General features: G+C 50.0%; 2 protein-coding genes across 5 annotated transcripts in view, besides 4 other annotated features; both read left to right on the top strand.

Moving 5' to 3' along the window:
• Positions 3 to 72: an enhancer, noted in NCBI's record as "active region_12229". NCBI's record gives its function as "activates an Ori minimal core promoter by ATAC-STARR-seq in GM12878 lymphoblastoid cells {active_cell/tissue: GM12878}" and the evidence as "EXISTENCE:reporter gene assay evidence [ECO:0000049][PMID:35858748]".
• PTGES3L-AARSD1 (PTGES3L-AARSD1 readthrough) overlaps positions 36 to 12523 on the top strand; it is a 30003-nt gene continuing 17515 nt past the window's right edge. Inside the window, exons 1-6 of one of the 2 annotated variants that reach the window (NM_001136042.2) lie at positions 36 to 518; positions 901 to 1014; positions 1120 to 1186; positions 1296 to 1394; positions 8868 to 8957; positions 10222 to 10275. In NM_001136042.2, coding sequence (NP_001129514.2) covers positions 382 to 518; positions 901 to 1014; positions 1120 to 1186; positions 1296 to 1394; positions 8868 to 8957; positions 10222 to 10275 — 561 coding nt within the window. In that variant the 5' untranslated portion in view covers positions 36 to 381. Of the gene's footprint in view, positions 519 to 551; positions 660 to 900; positions 1015 to 1119; positions 1187 to 1295; positions 1395 to 8867; positions 8958 to 10221; positions 10276 to 12523 lie in introns of those variants that run through there. The other variant, NM_025267.4, reaches the window with a different exon arrangement.
• PTGES3L (prostaglandin E synthase 3 like) lies at positions 484 to 12461 on the top strand. Of its 3 annotated transcripts, NM_001261430.2 has the most exons (7): positions 484 to 518; positions 901 to 1014; positions 1120 to 1186; positions 1296 to 1394; positions 8868 to 8957; positions 10222 to 10275; positions 11378 to 12461. In NM_001261430.2, the coding sequence occupies exons 1-7, from the start codon at positions 511 to 513 to the stop codon at positions 11414 to 11416; spliced, it is 471 nt and encodes a 156-aa protein (NP_001248359.2). In that variant the 5' UTR covers positions 484 to 510; the 3' UTR covers positions 11417 to 12461. The 3 variants fall into 3 exon arrangements, with proteins under 3 accessions (NP_001248359.2, NP_001136126.2, NP_001136125.2); NM_001142654.2 differs by lacking the exon at positions 901 to 1014; NM_001142653.2 differs by lacking the exon at positions 1296 to 1394.
• Positions 3865 to 4065: a silencer, noted in NCBI's record as "peak2852 fragment used in MPRA reporter construct". NCBI's record gives its function as "represses an SCP1 promoter by STARR-seq MPRAs in K562 erythroleukemia cells {active_cell/tissue: K562}" and the evidence as "EXISTENCE:reporter gene assay evidence [ECO:0000049][PMID:32103011]".
• Positions 7369 to 7935: an enhancer, noted in NCBI's record as "H3K27ac-H3K4me1 hESC enhancer chr17:41124646-41125212 (GRCh37/hg19 assembly coordinates)". NCBI's record gives its function as "activates a minimal SCP1, AML or CMV promoter by ChIP-STARR-seq in naive H9 embryonic stem cells {active_cell/tissue: H9 hESC(naive)}" and the evidence as "EXISTENCE:reporter gene assay evidence [ECO:0000049][PMID:30033119]".
• Positions 11005 to 11205: a silencer, noted in NCBI's record as "peak2851 fragment used in MPRA reporter construct". NCBI's record gives its function as "represses an SCP1 promoter by STARR-seq MPRAs in K562 erythroleukemia cells {active_cell/tissue: K562}" and the evidence as "EXISTENCE:reporter gene assay evidence [ECO:0000049][PMID:32103011]".

Below are 12523 nucleotides of genomic sequence, written 5' to 3'. Positions count from 1 at the left end.
CCACCGCACGTCAGCCGCGCCCCCCTGCTGCCATGGCAACGGCGCGGTGGCCTGGAACCCCAGGGGAGTGGTGGGCGGGGCCTGAAGTACCCAAGTCCCCGAGGGCGCGCCTTCCCCGGGAATTTAATTCAGGACAATAATGTTTTATTGAGCGCCTATTGTGAATCAGACACTGAGCAGTAAGCGTCGGAGAAACAGGTGAATGATACCGGGGAAAAGTCATTCCCTGTGTGTAGCGTCTAGGGCAGCCTTTGCCCTGGTTCCAGCAGATGGGTTGTCTCTTCATAGTCTATGCATTTCTGAAGACCCCACGGTGAAGGGCTGCAAGGATGAAGCTGTCCCAGAGTATCTCCAGAGTGCAGATCCCTTGGCTGCCAGGTCATGTTCTCTCTTCCTCTCAACTGCTCTCCCGACCATATAAGGAGAGGCAGCTGCTGGGGGCGTCCCCAGGATCTAAAGATAGCGGCCCCTGCCTGGAACTCTAAATGCCACCCTGGAGCGGGAGCCGCAATGGCACGGTGAGTGTTTCCGGCTCCGGTGCTCCCCCTGGCCCTTTTCCCTGGAGATTCCCTGCTCCAAGTCTTCTGGGCGCTCCAGGTTCTGTGAGGCCCCACGGGAGCCCCGGACCCCTGGTCTCTGTAACTGTGGGGTGAGGGAAGGTGTGACCTGAATGTTCTCCCTGACCTCCTAGTTTCCTAGTCTTGCACGTTCTATTCTTCCCAGGTTCACATTCACCACACCCACCCACTCCTGTCATTCCCTTCCCTTTCACCCCTTCTGTCTCATTTAGCTCCACTTTGAAAAAACTGTGGCATCAAAGGTCCCTGGGTAGTCCCTTCCCAAATGACCTCAGTCTTCCCTCTCCCACCCCTATGAAGCCACACCTCAACTTCTCTTCAGGCAGCACGCCCGGACCTTGTGGTACGACAGGCCCAGGTATGTGTTCATGGAGTTTTGTGTTGAGGACAGCACCGATGTCCACGTGCTTATTGAGGATCACCGCATTGTGTTCAGGTAGTGGCCCTGCCGTCCGAGGGCCTGGCTTCCCAGGAATCTACCCCTTTCCTAATGTCCCCACACGGAGTATTCCGCATCTCCTCAGCTTCATTGTCTCCTCAGCTGCAAGAATGCCGATGGAGTGGAGTTGTACAATGAGATTGAGTTCTATGCCAAAGTGAACTCCAAGGTAAGGGTGAAATGGGACAGTAAGGTTTGGATGGAAACCGGGCTGCCCAGGGAAACTGGAGATTAATTCTAAACCCCAGACCCTAAGAATGAGGCTCTCTATCTGGCAGGACTCCCAGGATAAGCGCTCTTCCCGCTCTATTACTTGTTTTGTGAGAAAATGGAAGGAAAAGGTGGCCTGGCCGCGGCTTACCAAGGAGGATATCAAGGTGGGTGTGTGGAAAGTGGCCTGCTTCTTCTCTCCATGTACCCAGGTTACAGCTGGGATTGTCCTTGCCTCCTTTCCAGCCAATATTCAATCACTCAACAAGTCCTGCCTAATCTTTTTTTTCCAACTGTATTAGTCTCTCTTTTTATTTTTATTTATTTATTTATTTTGAGACGGAGTTTCACTCTTGTTGCCCAGGCTGGAGTGCAGTGGCGTGATCTCAGCTCACCATGGCCTCCGCCTCCCGGGTTCAAGCAATTCTCCTGCCTCAGCCTCCTGGGTAGCTGGGATTACAGGCATGCACCACCACGCCCAGCTAATTTTGTATTTTTAGTAGAGATGGGGTTTCTCCTTGTTGCTCAGGCTGGTCTCGAACTCCCGACTTCAGGTGATCTGCCCGCCTCGGCCTCCCAAAGTGCTGGGATTACAGGCGTGAGCCACCGCGCCTGGCTTATTTTTTAACTTAAAGTTCTGGGATACATGTGCAGAACATGCAGGTTTGTTACATAGGTATACGTGTGCCATGGTGGTTTGCTGCATCTATCAACCCGTCATGCAGGTTTTAAGTCCTGCATACATTAGCTATTTGTCCTGAGTCTCTTTTTACTCTCTTGGTAATCTCTCCCAGTTAACTTACTTTCGTTGTAGGTGATGAAATGTGTAAGACTCCACTTCAGATATTGGCACTGCTATGAACATGGTCTTTCCCTTTACTGCAACTCACAATCAAAACCTTTGATTCTTTTTGTGTGTGTGTTTGTGTGAGATGGATTCTCACTCCCGTAGCACAGGCTGGAGTGCAGTGGCGCGATCTTGGCCCACTGCAACATCCACTTCCCGGGTTCAAGCGATTCTCCTTCCTCAGCCTCCTGAGTAGCTGGGATTACTGGCTTGTGCCCCCACGCCTGGCTAATTTTTGTATTTTTAGTAGAGACGGGGTTTCACCATATTGGTCAGGCTGGTCTTGAATTCCTGACCTCAGGTGGTCTACCCGCCTCAGCCTCCCAAACTGCTAGGATTACAGGCGTGAGCCAATGTGCCCAGCCATTTCTTTTTCTTTTTTCTTTCTGTTTTTTTTTTTTTTTTTTTTTTTGATTCGGAGTTTCGCTCTTGTTGCCCAGGCTGGAGTGCAATGGCATGATCGCAGCTCACTACACCTCCGCCTCCCAGATTCAAGCGATTCTCCTGCCTCAGTCTCCCGAGTAGCTGTGATTACAGGCATGTGCCACCACACCCAGCTAATTTTGTATTTTTAGTAGAGACAGTGTTTCAACATGTTGGCCAGGCTGGTCTCAAACTCCTGACCACAGGTGATCCACCTGCATCGGCCTCCTAAAGTGCTGGGATTACAGCTGTGAGCCACTGCACCCGGCCTCTGCCAATTCTTGTTTTCTATATTCCAGTCCCAGAAGTAGTTTCCACTGTAGAAATTAATTGATGAGTCTTATTCTTTCTTTTCTTTCTTTCTTTCTTTCTTTTCTTTCTTTCTCTCTCTCTCTCTCCCTCCCTTCCTCCCTCCCCCTCTCTCTCTTTCTTTCTTTTTCTTCTTTTCTTTTTTTTTTTTTTGAGACAGAGTTTCTCTCTTGTTGCCCAGGCTGGAGTGCAATGGCGCCATCTCGGCTCACTGCAACCTCCGCCTCCTGGGTTCAAGCGATTCTCCTTCATCAGCCTCCTGAGTAGCTGGGATTACAGGCGTGTGCCACCACGCCCGGCTAATTTTTGTATTTTTGTATTTTTTTTTTTTTGAGATAGAGTCTCACTCTGTCACCCAGGCTGGAGTGCAGTGGCGTGATCTCAGCTCACTGCAACCTCTGTCTCCTGGGTTCAAGTGATTCTCCTTCCTCAGCCTCCTGAGTAGCTGGGATTACAGGTGCCCACCACCATGCCCAGCTAATTTTTGTATTTTTAATAGAGACAGGGTTTCACCATGTTGGCCCGGCTGCTCTTGAACTCCTGACCTCAGGTGATCTGCTCGCCTCGGCCTCCCAAAGTGCTGGGATTACAGGTGTAAGCCACCGCACCTGGTAATTTTTTGTATTTTTAGTAGAGATGGGGTTTTGCCATGTTGACTAGGCTGGTCTCGAACTTCAGACCTCAGGTGATCTGCCTGCCTCAGCCTCCCAGGGTGCTGGAATTACAGGCATGAGCCACCACACCTAGCCCTGATGACTCTTATTCTTTCTAGTAGTGGCTTACAACCAGGCTCTACTGACCTCTTAAATATTAATGAATTCACTACTTAATTTCTTCCTAGTTCAAGCCTCACCAGCATACAGTGAGAAGTTTGTTGCATATTTTCAGTTCCATTTTCAATCCATTCTCTGCATTGCCCTCAGCATGGTCTGTCTAAAACACACATTTGACCCTGATGCTCCCCCACTTAAGGCCCTCCAAAGTCGTCTCCTCCTTAAAGGTTGAAAACTGACTGCCTGATGGCTGGATCTGGCTCTCAGATTTGTTTTAATCTTTACAGTGTCAAAAATTATTTTAAGGCCGGGTGTGGTGGCTCACGCCTGTAATCCCAGCACTGTAGGAGGCCGAGGCAGGCAGATTGCTTGAGGTCAGGAGTTGGAGACCAGCCCAGACAACATAGTGAAACGCCGTCTCTACTAAAAATACAAAAAATTAGCTGGGTGTGGTGGCGCATGTCTGTAGTCCTAGCTATTCAGGAGGCTGAGGCAGAATAATCGCTTGAACCTGGGAAGTGGAGGTTGCAGTGAGCTGAGATCGTGCCACTGCATTCCAGCCTGGGCGACAGAGCGAGACAACGTCTCAAAAAAAAAGAAATTATTTTGACTTGTTACTGACATTAAAAAATTTTTATTAGTTGCTGACATTTAAAAATGTGCATCTTCTAAAAATCCAGACTATAAGCTTCTGTTGAAAAATGGGAGGCTGAGAGAGGTGGCTCACAATCCCAGCACTTTGGGAGGCTGAGGTGGATGGATTGATTTAGGTCAGGAGTTCAAGACCAGCCTGGCCAACATGGCAAAACCCCATCTCTACTAAAAATACAAAAAATGAGCTGGGCGTGGTGGTGCGAGCCTGTAGTGCCAGCTACTCGGGAGGCTGAGGCGGGAGAATTGCTTGAACCCGGGAGGCAGAGGTTGCAGTGAGCCAAGAGCTCACCACTGCACTCCTGCCTGTGCAATAGAGTGAGACTCCATTTCAAAAAAAATAAATAAATAAAACGGGGAGCCAGGTTCGGTGGCTCGTGACTGTAATCCCAGCACTTTGGAAGGCCGAGGCAGGCAGATCACAAGGTGGGGAATTTGAGACCAGCCTGGCCGACGTGGTGAAACCCCGTCTCTACTAAAAATACGAAAGTTAGCAGAGCGCGGTAGCACGTGCCTGTAATCCCAGCTGCTCCGGAGGCTGAGGCAGGAGAATTGCTTGAACCCGGGAGGCAGAGGTTGCAGTCAGCCGAGATCACCCCACTGCACTCTAGCCTGGATGACAGAGTGAGACTCTGTCTCAGAAAGAAAAAAGAAAAAGAAAAATGAGAGAATCTAGCCCCACTGATACACATCCCCAGATGCCTAGAGTTGAAGTTTTCAGTGGATCATGTACTTCACCTCACTTGCTCCTTTTCATTACCTCCCTGACTCTCTTGGGTATTTGAGCGTTTGATTTCCTGCCCTTTAGGTTGAGATCCGTTACATAACACACTAGCACATCCCACACTCTCTGCCCCAAGCTTTATCTTCTAGCCACAGCAGACTGTTGTGTTTTGTTTGTTTTGCAAAAACCAGGCTGTTTCTCACCTCTGTACCTTTGCTCAAGGTATGCCTTCTTCCTGAAAAGTTACCATCATTACTACCTTCACCCACCCAATCCCTGTGCATCCTTCAAAGCCCTGCCACTCCAGAAACCTGGGTTCTTGTGACTCCTTTTGGGGTTCCCATGATGTCCCCTATATAACTCCACCACCACACTTTTCACACTGTATTATAGTGCTTTATTTATATCTCCCTCCCCAGCTTGCTTCCAAGTGGCTGGGACAGTGTGTTGACCTTTTTTTTTTTTTTTTTTTTTGAGACAGGATGTCGTACTGTTACTCAGGCTGGAGTACAGTGGCATAATCAAGGTTCACAGCAGCGTTGCCCTTCTGGGCTCAAGCAATCCTCTCACCTTAGCCTCTTGAGTAGGTGGAACAACAGAAGTGTGCCACCATGCCTGGCTAATTTTTGTATTTTTTGTAGAGATGGGGTTTTGCCATGTTGCCCTAGGCTGGTCTCGAACCCCTGGGCTCAAGCAATTGATGTGCCTTGGCCTCCCAAAGTGCTGTGATTATAAGTGATAGCCACTGCGCCCGGCCAGAACATTTTTATAAACCCAGTGCCAAGCTGAGAGTCTGTCCATAGTATGTGTTCAATAAATTTTTTTTTTTTTTTTTTTGAGACAGAGTCTCACTCCATCGCCCAGGTTGGAGTACAGTGGCGTGATCTCGACTCACTGCAACCTCCACCTTCCGGGTTCCAGTAATCCTCCTGCGTTAGTCTCCTGAGTAGATGGGATTACAAGTGCCCACCAGCATTCCCAGCTAATTTCTGTATTTTTAGTAGAGATGGGGTTTCACCATGTTGGCCAGGCTGGTCTCAAACTCCTGACGTCAAGTGATCCACCTGCCTCAGCCTCCCAAAATGCTGGGATTACAGATGTTAGCCACTGCACCTGGCCAATAAATATCTTTTGAATGAAGGAGTGAATAACTTCTTCCCTGTATAAATGTGGAAACTTTGGAACATGGACCTTGAAGGGCTGTCTCTGACTCCATGGAATGCAGCTTGTCTTTTTTTTTTTTTTTTTCGAGACAGAGTTCCACTCTTGTTGCCCAGGCTGGGGTGCAGTGGCGCGATCTCAGCTTACTGCAGCTTCCACCTGCCAGGTTCAAGCAATTTTCCTGCCTCAGCCTCCCAAGTAGCTGGGACTAGAAGCATGTGCCACCATGCCCAGCTAATTTTGTATTTTTAGTAGAGATGGGGTTTTACCATGTTGGCCAGGCTGGTCTCGAACTCCTGACCTCAGGTGATCCACCCACCCTGGCCCCGCAGAGTGCTGGGATTACAGGTTGTGTGAGCCACTGCGCCTGGCTGCAGCTTGTCTGTCTTATTGGTTGACTCCTATGTTGCTTTATTTTTTTTTATTTTTATTTTTATTTTTTTTTAATTTATTTTTTTATTGATAATTCTTGGGTGTTTCTCACAGAGGGGGATTTGGCAGGGTCATGGGACAATAGTGGAGGGAAGGTCAGCAGATAAACAAGTGAACAAAGGTCTCTGGTTTTCCTAGGCAGAGGACCCTGCGGCCTTCCGCAGTGTTTGTGTCCCTGATTACTTGAGATTAGGGAGTGGTGATGACTCTTAACGAGCATGCTGCCTTCAAGCATCTGTTTAACAAAGCACATCTTGCACCGCCCTTAACCCATTTAACCCTGAGTGGACACAGCACATGTTTCAGAGAGCACAGGGTTGGGGGTAAGGTCACAGATCAACAGGATCCCAAGGCAGAAGAATTTTTCTTAGTGCAGAACAAAATGAAAAGTCTCCCATGTCTACTTCTTTCTACACAGACACGGCAACCATCCGATTTCTCAATCTTTTCCCCACCTTTTCCGCCTTTCTATTCCACAAAGCCGCCATTGTCATCCTGGCCCGTTCTCAGTGAGCTGTTGGGCACACCTCCCAGACGGGGTGGTGGCCAGGCAGAGGGGCTCCTCACTTCCCAGTAGGGGCGGCCGGGCAGAGGCGCCCCTCACCTCCCGGACGGGGCGGCTGGCCGGGCAGGGGGCTGACCCCCCCCACTTCCCTCCCGGACGGGGCGGCTGGCCGGGCGGAGGGGCTCTTCACTTCCCAGTAGGGGCCGCCGGGCAGAGGCGCCCCTCACCTCCCGGACGGGGCGGCTGGCCGGGCGGGGGGCTGACCCCCCCACCTCCCTCCCGGACGGGGCGGCTGGCCGGGCGGGGGGCTGACCCCCCCCCACCTCCCTCCCGGATGGGGTGGCTGCTGGGCAGAGACGCTCCTCACTTCCCAGATGGGGTGGCTGCCGGGCGGAGAGGCTCCTCACTTCTCAGACGGGGTGGTTGCCAGGCAGAGGGTCTCCTCACTTCTCAGACGGGGCGGCCGGGCAGAGACGCTCCTCACCTCCCAGACGGGGTCGCGGCCGGGCAGAGGCGCTCCTCACATCCCAGATGGGGCAGCGGGGCAGAGGTGCTCCCCACATCTCAGACGATGGGTGGCCGGGCAGAGACGCTCATCACTTCCTAGATGTGATGGCGGCCGGGAAGAGGCGCTCCTCACTTCCTAGATGGGATGGCGGCCGGGCGGAGACGCTCCTCACTTTCCAGACTGGGCAGCCAGGCAGAGGGGCTCCTCACATCCCAGACGATGGGCGGCCAGGCAGAGACACTCCTCACTTCCCAGACGGGGTGGCGGCCGGGCAGAGGCTGCAATCTCAGCACTTTGGGAGGCCAAGGCAGGCGGCTGGGAGGTGTAGGTTGTAGCGAGCCGAGATCATGCCACTGCACTCCAGCCTGGGCACCATTGAGCACTGAGTGAACGAGACTCCGTCTGCAATCCCGGCACCTCGGGAGGCCGAGGCTGGCGGATCACTCGCGGTTAGGGGCTGGAGACCGGCCCAGCCAACACAGCGAAACCCCGTCTCCACCAAAACCAGTCAGGCGTGGCGGTGCGTGCCTGCAATCGCAGGCACTCGGCAGGCTGAGGCAGGAGAATCAGGCAGGGAGGTTGCAGTGAGCCGAGATGGCAGCAGTACAGTCCAGCTTCGGCTCCGCATGAGAGGGAGACCGTGGAAAGAGAGGGAGACCATGGGGAGGGGGAGGGGGAGGGGGAGAGGGAGAGGGAGAGAGAGAGGGCATAATGCCTATGTTGCTTTATGATACAATTATCTTTCCAGATGTGTTGTCTCCTCAGTCAATCGGCTCCTGGAGGGTGGGACTTCTTTTTTTTTTTTTTTTTTTTTTTGAGATGCAGTCTTGCTCTGTCACCCAGGCTGGGGTGCAGTGGCACGATCTTGGCTCACTGCGACCTCCGCCTCCCAGGCTCAAGCAATTCTCCTGCCTCAGCCTCCCGAGTAGCTGGGACTACAGGTGCCCGTCACCACGCCCGGATAATTTTTGTATTTTTACTAGAGACGAGGTTTCACCATATTGGCCAGGCTGGTCTCGAACTCCTGACCTTGTGATCCTCCTGCCTCGGCCTTCCAAAGTGCTGAGATTACAGGCATGAGCCACCACGCCTGGCCGGAGGGTAGGACTTCTGAGATTTTCAGACTCTATCATGCCTAGCTTTGTGTGTAGATTGGCAGGTTCCTGGTCAAAGGAGTGCAGTTGGGAGGACTAGGGACCTACTGACCCTCTTTTCCCCAGGCGTGCTCCCATGCATATGCCCACACTCTCCCACACACTCCTGCTCCTGCCCTCCTGGCCTGTGACTCTTGGTGCCTCTTCTTGCAGCCAGTGTGGCTGTCTGTGGACTTTGATAACTGGAGAGACTGGGAAGGGGATGAAGAGATGGAGCTGGCTCATGTGGAACATTATGCAGAGGTGAGAGACAACACCTACTGTGTTCTGCCCACTTGATCATTCTTTGTGTTTCTCTGCACACATGTCTCTGGAGGATTGTCACTGGGGCCAAGCAGAGATATGCAAGCTCTCTAGGCAGGTTACTCATTGATGCTGATATTCTTTACGTATTTTGTGCAATGTTTATTTAATAGGGATGAGAGGAAAGAATATTATTGAAATTATATACATTGATTCACTTATTCAGTGTAGAGCCTGTATTCTGAAGAAGTTTGACAAAACGTTTTTCCACTTTTCTGTAATTCTTGTTCTACTGTTTTCTGTGTGTGTGTGTGTGTGTGTGGTTTTCTGTCGCCTAGGCTGGAGTGCAATGGCGCGATCTCAGCTCACTGCAACCTCTGCCTCTGGGTTCAAGCAATTTTGTCTCATCCTCCTGAGTAGCTGGGATTACAGGTGCCCACCACCACTTCTGGATAATTTTTGTATTTTTTTAGTAGAGACGGAGTTTCACCATGTTGGCCAGGCTGGTCTCAAATTCCTGACCTCAGGTGATCCACCTGCCTCACCCTCCCAAGTGGTGGGATTACAGGCGTAAGTCACCATGCCTGGCCTGTGTGTGTGGTTTTCTTTTTGAGACAGAGTCTTGCTCTGTCTCCCAGGCTGGAGTGCAGTAGCTCCCTGCAACCTCCACTTCCCAGGTTCAAGTGATTCTTGTGCCTCAGCCACCTGAGTAGCTGGGATTACAGGCATGCGCCACCACCCCTGGCTAATTTTTTTTTGTATTTTTGGTAGAGATGGGGTTTCATCATGTTGGCCAGGCTGGTCTGGAACTCCTGGCCTCAAGTGATCTGTCTGTCTCAGCCTCCCAAAGTGCTCACATTACAAATGTGAGCCACCAAACCCGGCCTCTGTGTGTGTGTGTGTGTGTGTGTGTGTGTGTGTGTGTGTGTGCGCGTGTTAAGCCAGACAACTTCATGGGATGTTAAAACTAGCAGTATAAAAACTCACATCATAAATAATTGGCCCCCAGTAAATCACACACTGTCGTTATATTATTTGGTTTCAGTTATAAAAACACTAGCCGACTCCAATCTGGATTTGTGTTAAATTTTCTTTTAAGAAGGGGATCAATTTACTTTTCTCAAATTAATTCCAGTGATGTTTTAAAGATGGGAGCAGTTGCCTGACCAGTTCTGGCTGCAACCATTCTTCTATGGACCATCAATGTGCAGATTGTTCTTCCTTCACTCCCTTCTCCCTTGTGATTATTTTTTCTTCCCACTAGCTTTTGAAGAAGGTCAGCACCAAGAGACCTCCACCTGCCATGGATGATTTGGATGTAAGTAAAGCCTTCCCCTCAACCCTTCAGTTTCTTTGTAGCCCTTAAAAACAACCCACTAGAGAGCTCCTATCCCAGTTCCTAGCACACAGTAGTTCTCAGTGCCTGTTAACCAAATTTGAGTTTGACCCAAGAGGGCTAATATTCTTTTTTTGGGGGGTGGGGGAGGAGTTTCACTCTTTCGCCCAGGTTGGAGTGCAGTGGCCCGATCTTGGCTCACTGCAACCTCTGCCTCCTGGGTTCAAGAGATTCTCCTGCCTCAGACTCCTGAGTAGCTGGGAATATAGGTGCCTGCCACCACGCCCAGCTAATTTTTGTATTTTTAGTAGAGACAGGGTTTTGCCATGTTAGCCAGGCTGGTCTCGAACTCCTGGCCTGAGGTGATCCACCCGCCTCGGCCTCCCAAAGTATTGGGATTACAGGCGTGAGCCACCACGCCTGGCCCAAGAAGGCTAATATTCTTCTCCAGGCTTTAGAAAACCCTAGCAAGACCCTCCTGCTTTCCATCTACCCCTCTGTTTCTCCATCCTAGAGAAGACCTACCCCAGCTGTAAGGAGCAATAGCATTAATTAAAATTCTGAAACTAGGGTGGGTGTGGTGGCTCACGCCTGTAATCCCAGCACTTTGAGAGGCCAAGGCAGGTGGATCACTTGTGCTCAGCAGTTTGAGACCAGCCTGGGCAACAGGGCAAAACCCTGTCTCTACCAAAAGTACAAAAATTAGCCAGGCACAGTAGCCTATAATCCCAGCTACTCAAGTGGCTGAGGTGGGAGGATCGCTTGAGACTGTGAGGCAGAGGTTGCACTGAGCTGAGATCATGCCACTGCACTGCAGCTGGGTGATGAAGCAAGACCCTGTCTCAAAAAAAAAAAAAAAAAAAAAAAAAGTCCTGAAACTAATGATGTATGACAAAGTAGTGTTGGTTTACTTAACATCCAAAGTAAGTTAAAACCTTTCATATTAGCCCCCTAAGTTGGGTGGTTTAGGAAATCACAAAAAGAAACTTGGAGAACAGGAGAGAGGAAGCAGTATTTGTTAACACAAATGTTCCTGCTTTGCAGGGTCTACAGGTGCTTTGTCTTTTTTCCCCCCCGCCCCCAGGATGATTCTGACAGTGCTGATGATGCAACAAGTAATTAACTTTCTGTGACGCAAAGCTGGGAAGGCAGCTGTGGCTATTTTCCAGTTGTTCTAGAAAGCTAGCGCCTAGGCCTTTGTCAGCGCTTTGGCTGTGCACCAAGTTCTTCTGAGATCTCTGAACTTTCCTAGAAGCTCTTTATTAAGGGTCGTCCTTCAAGCTTGTCTTCCTCCTAGGCACTTGACTATGGCTCCACATCAGATGCAGGGTCGGGGAGGGGTAGACTGGTAGGGCTTCTGATTTCTTACTGATTGGTTTCTAATCTCTGTGTTTAGGCCACTTGATTATTTGAGTATGTGTGTGTATGTGGCAAAACAAAAGCCAAAGAAGAATGCAGATTATAGAAATCTCTACTATGTGTGCATATGGGGCAAAGCAAAAAGCCAAAGAAGAAACAGATTATAATAAATCTCTAGGAACTGTTCTCTGTCTGTTTCCTTCTTGTACTTATTCCTCCTGGTGGCAAGCCTCTTCTCCCTCTAGTAACCAAGCTGGGGTGCTTCCTCTTGCCCAGATTTGTGCTCTGATTTCTTACAGCTAATTCTGTCATCTCTAGAACCAGCCACTTCAGCTTCCTGCACACTCTAGAAATCTCTTTATACTTTTTTTTTTTTTTTCCGAGATGGAGTCTTGCTCTGTCGCCCAGGCTGGAGTGCAGTGGTGCAGTCTCTGTTCACTGCAACCTCCACCTTCTGGGTTCAAGCAATTCTCCTGCCTCAGCCTCCCAAGTAGATGGGACTACAGATGTGCACCACCAGGCCCAGCTAATTTTTGTATTTTTAGCAGAGATGGGGTTTCACCATGTTGGCCAGGCTGGTCTCGAACTCCTGACCTCAAGTAATCCACCCACCTCAGCCTCCCAAAGTGCTAGGATTACATGTATGAGCCACCACACCCGGCCCTCTTTATACTTTTAAAACTGATTGTTACTCTAGTTAATGTCTATGTTTATTTGTCCAACAGCTATTCTATTTGTCCATAAACTTTTTTGAGTGCCTAATATGTACAGTTGACTGTAACTTAAACAAAATAAATGCATTGCCTATAGACTTTGCTCTTGAACTCATGGTAAACTATTAGGATTTACTTTAAAAGTAAACTTTATTTAT

This window comes from Homo sapiens, chromosome 17 (assembly GCF_000001405.40).
Source record: "Homo sapiens chromosome 17, GRCh38.p14 Primary Assembly".
Taxonomy (NCBI): Eukaryota; Metazoa; Chordata; class Mammalia; order Primates; family Hominidae; genus Homo; species Homo sapiens.
This window is presented reverse-complemented; position numbering and strand designations above follow the sequence as displayed.